We start from the raw sequence: 3,238 nt of genomic DNA on the forward strand, positions 1-3,238 counted from the left end.
TAAATAAACCTAAAGTTGGGAAAAACAATAAATGCATTTTTATGATGTGCGTATATTGTTGTGGGGGGAATATGTGCATCAAAAACTATGTTCTGGAAATATTTTGTGCTGTGATTAGGAATATAGTAGATACTAAAATATATAAGGTGAGCTGCCTGCCTTCAAGGAGTTTTAACTCTAATTGTAAAAAAGGTAAATTTATTTAATACTATATTTTTGTTAATTACCTTGCCATTTAAGTAGTTCAGGATATTTCGGAGTCAAAACTAACTTTGTTTAGATTATATTAACTGTGCTAAATGTGTTAATTTGCAGATAATTTGTATTTTATGGTATTATTTCCTTCCCATATAAGAACACAGGATTACTTAAGTTCAGATTCTGATTTGTCTTTGATGTGCTCTCATTTTCATTATATATGGTCTCTACTTTCCTGTTAAATTTATGTATACATATTTCATTAAGTTTCTTAATTTTATTTTGTTCTTGCTTGTTATTTTGAATACGATAATTTTCTTATAGCTTTTTCTAGGCATTTATTACTAAATTTGAGACAATTTCTGATTTCTTTAATTGTTATTTTTATTTTCAGTCACTTTATCAAGTTATCTTATTTGTAGTTTAGATAAGAAGGTGGGGATTGTAGTTACAAATCATACCATCAATAAGAAAAATACTTTTATCCTTTTTCCAATGTTTATATTATTTATTTATTTCTTGAGTATCTATATTTGCTAACTACCCAAGAAAATGTTACATAATATAGTAAGAGTTCAGCTTCCATTGACTTCCCTATTTTAAATGGTTTTTAGAATTTTGTTCTGTAGAATAATGCTTATTCAAGGTTTTGGTAAATTGTTTTATTCATTTTCTTTATATTTCTCTGACACTCATACTTTTCACTGGGAATTAATTTTGATATTACCAAATGTTTTATTGGAACCTACCAATAGAATTTTTTACTTTTTTCTCCTCACATGTCTGAAGGAAAAAAAGTGATAAAATTTCTAACATTAAATGATGCTTTGATTAATAAAATAATCCCTGCTCAGTAATTCTACATTAATCAGAGGGAAAGAAGCTGTGTACATATTGTTGTTTTCCTCTTCACAGTTTCTCACATCTACATAACTTCTTGATACAATTCTTCTCATCCTTCTGCATGGCCCTTTTAATTTATAGATCTCCATTTCTTTTGGGTTGGTTATTGGAATATGATTATGTTCTTTTTGTGGTATCATTTTTCCTTGTTTTGTGTGTGTGTGTGTACACATGTGTTTCTTATTCTCTTGCATTGCTCTATTTGTATTTGAAGAAGCAGTCACCTCCTCCAGTCTTTACCGATTGGCTTTGAGAGAGAAATACCTTCACCAATCATCCCAGCTAGGGAATCTGAATTCTTTTCTATGAATTCTTCTCTATGAATTCTTTTCTACAAATTCTTCTTCCCTCGGGGATGAAGGGGGAGCTTTTAAAATTTTATGTATTCCCTTGATCCTACAAAGCCAGGCTGGACACTGAAAGCCTCCCATTTGTTTTCCCTAGGGTAATGCCCTAAAATGCTACAGTTTGTGTGCCTTCATTCATTTCTGCAGAGTCGAGCTGCCTGTTTGCACAAGACAAAAGGTTGCCAGCATGGGGGAAGGAGTGTGTCAGCATGGGGAGCATTAGACGTACCATTGTATCAGTTAGTGGGGAATCCAAAGGCAAGACATTCCATGCAGCTCATAGGGGGTTCCTGATGAAGTCTGCAGAGTATTTAGCATAGTCTGTCCTCTCTTCTCTGTTCCCAGCTCTCCCAATAACTCAGCCATGGTGATCAGCTTAGTCTTCTGGGTGGAGCAAAAGACAAGTGGGCCCCTTGGGCAGGATCCTGCATGGTGGGGGAGCCAGGCATTCACTTACTACATTGTCACTTTCACATGTCAGATAAGGTGTGGATGAAGGTGGCCTCTCTTGTTTCTTAGCTGTGCCACCTTGTGAGAGAAAGGGTAATAAGGTAAAGCAAAACTGTTCTTCTCACCCTCTTTGATGCATGTGTTCTCAAAATTTTGCTCCAGTGATGAGCTGGAACTTCTTCCCTAGACTTCTATGTTCCCACAAAACTACTCTTGTTCATGGATTGTTGTCAAAGTAAATTCTTCTACAGGAGGAAGATGGTAGAAAGTTTGTATTCTGTCAACTTGTTGATGTCATTCTACCATAGCTGACTTAAGAAAATGGTTGTTAATTTCTGGAAGTTAAAACAATGTTTTAATCTGTGTGCTTATATTAAAAACAGGGCAACAAAAATTATTTTTAATATTTTATGCATTTATTTTAATTAGTTCAATTCACCGTGTTGGTAAGGATGATTTTTAAATAAAAAAGATGAGGATTATTTTCAGACATATCCTAACAAAAAATATTTTATTTCTCCAGTCTGGATAAAAGCTACCTTACACCATCATTGAGAGGACTAAAAGAACATTTAAACATTTTTAAAAAATACATTGTATCATAAATTTGTTATTATATTCATATTAATCGTGTGCAAACATGCTATTAAAATCATGTCTTTATATTACTCCTCATCATATTTCAACTAAACATGCACAAAAAACTGTTGCTTCTATTTCTAAAATTGTTTTATTGGCCAGGTGTGATGGCTCACACCTATAATCCCAGAAATTTGGGAGGCTGAGGTGGGCAGATCACTAGAGGCCAGGAGTTCGGGACCAGTCTGGCTAACATGGTGAAACCCCATCTCTACCAAAAATACTAAAAATTAGCCAGGCTCGATGGTGCATGCCTGTGGTCCCAGCTACTTGGGAGGATGAGGTGGGAGAATCACCTAAGACTGGGAGGTGGAGGTTGCGGTGAGCTGTGAGCATGTCATTGCACTCCAGCCTGTGTGACAGAATGAGACTGTCTGAAAATAAATAAATGAATTTCATAAAAATAAATTAAAAAATAAAATTGTTTTCTTGTCTCATACAATCTTATTCCTTAGAAAATGCAGGTTATGTTAATGGCCAGTGTCATCAAGTAATGGAAGTTTATTCAAAATTCTTTTCACATAAGTCAAAATCGACCACAGCTAAAATTTACTATCACTGTAAATCTATTGAAAAAATAAAAAGTACTGCTGAGTAAGTAATCTAATAATTACAACTCTATTGCTTTAGAGTTTGTTTTATAAACTTATTTAATTAACTTTTATAAGAAAAAGATTATTTTCTTCAGAATCCTAATTTAG

The 3,238-nt window shown here is 33.7% G+C and overlaps 1 annotated feature.

Annotated features, from left to right (window-relative positions):
• Positions 1,365-1,964: an enhancer, noted in NCBI's record as "OCT4-NANOG hESC enhancer chr4:30444783-30445382 (GRCh37/hg19 assembly coordinates)". NCBI's record gives its function as "activates a minimal SCP1, AML or CMV promoter by ChIP-STARR-seq in naive H9 embryonic stem cells {active_cell/tissue: H9 hESC(naive)}" and the evidence as "EXISTENCE:reporter gene assay evidence [ECO:0000049][PMID:30033119]".

Source organism: Homo sapiens, chromosome 4, assembly GCF_000001405.40.
Source record: "Homo sapiens chromosome 4, GRCh38.p14 Primary Assembly".
NCBI classification, from domain to species: Eukaryota; Metazoa; Chordata; class Mammalia; order Primates; family Hominidae; genus Homo; species Homo sapiens.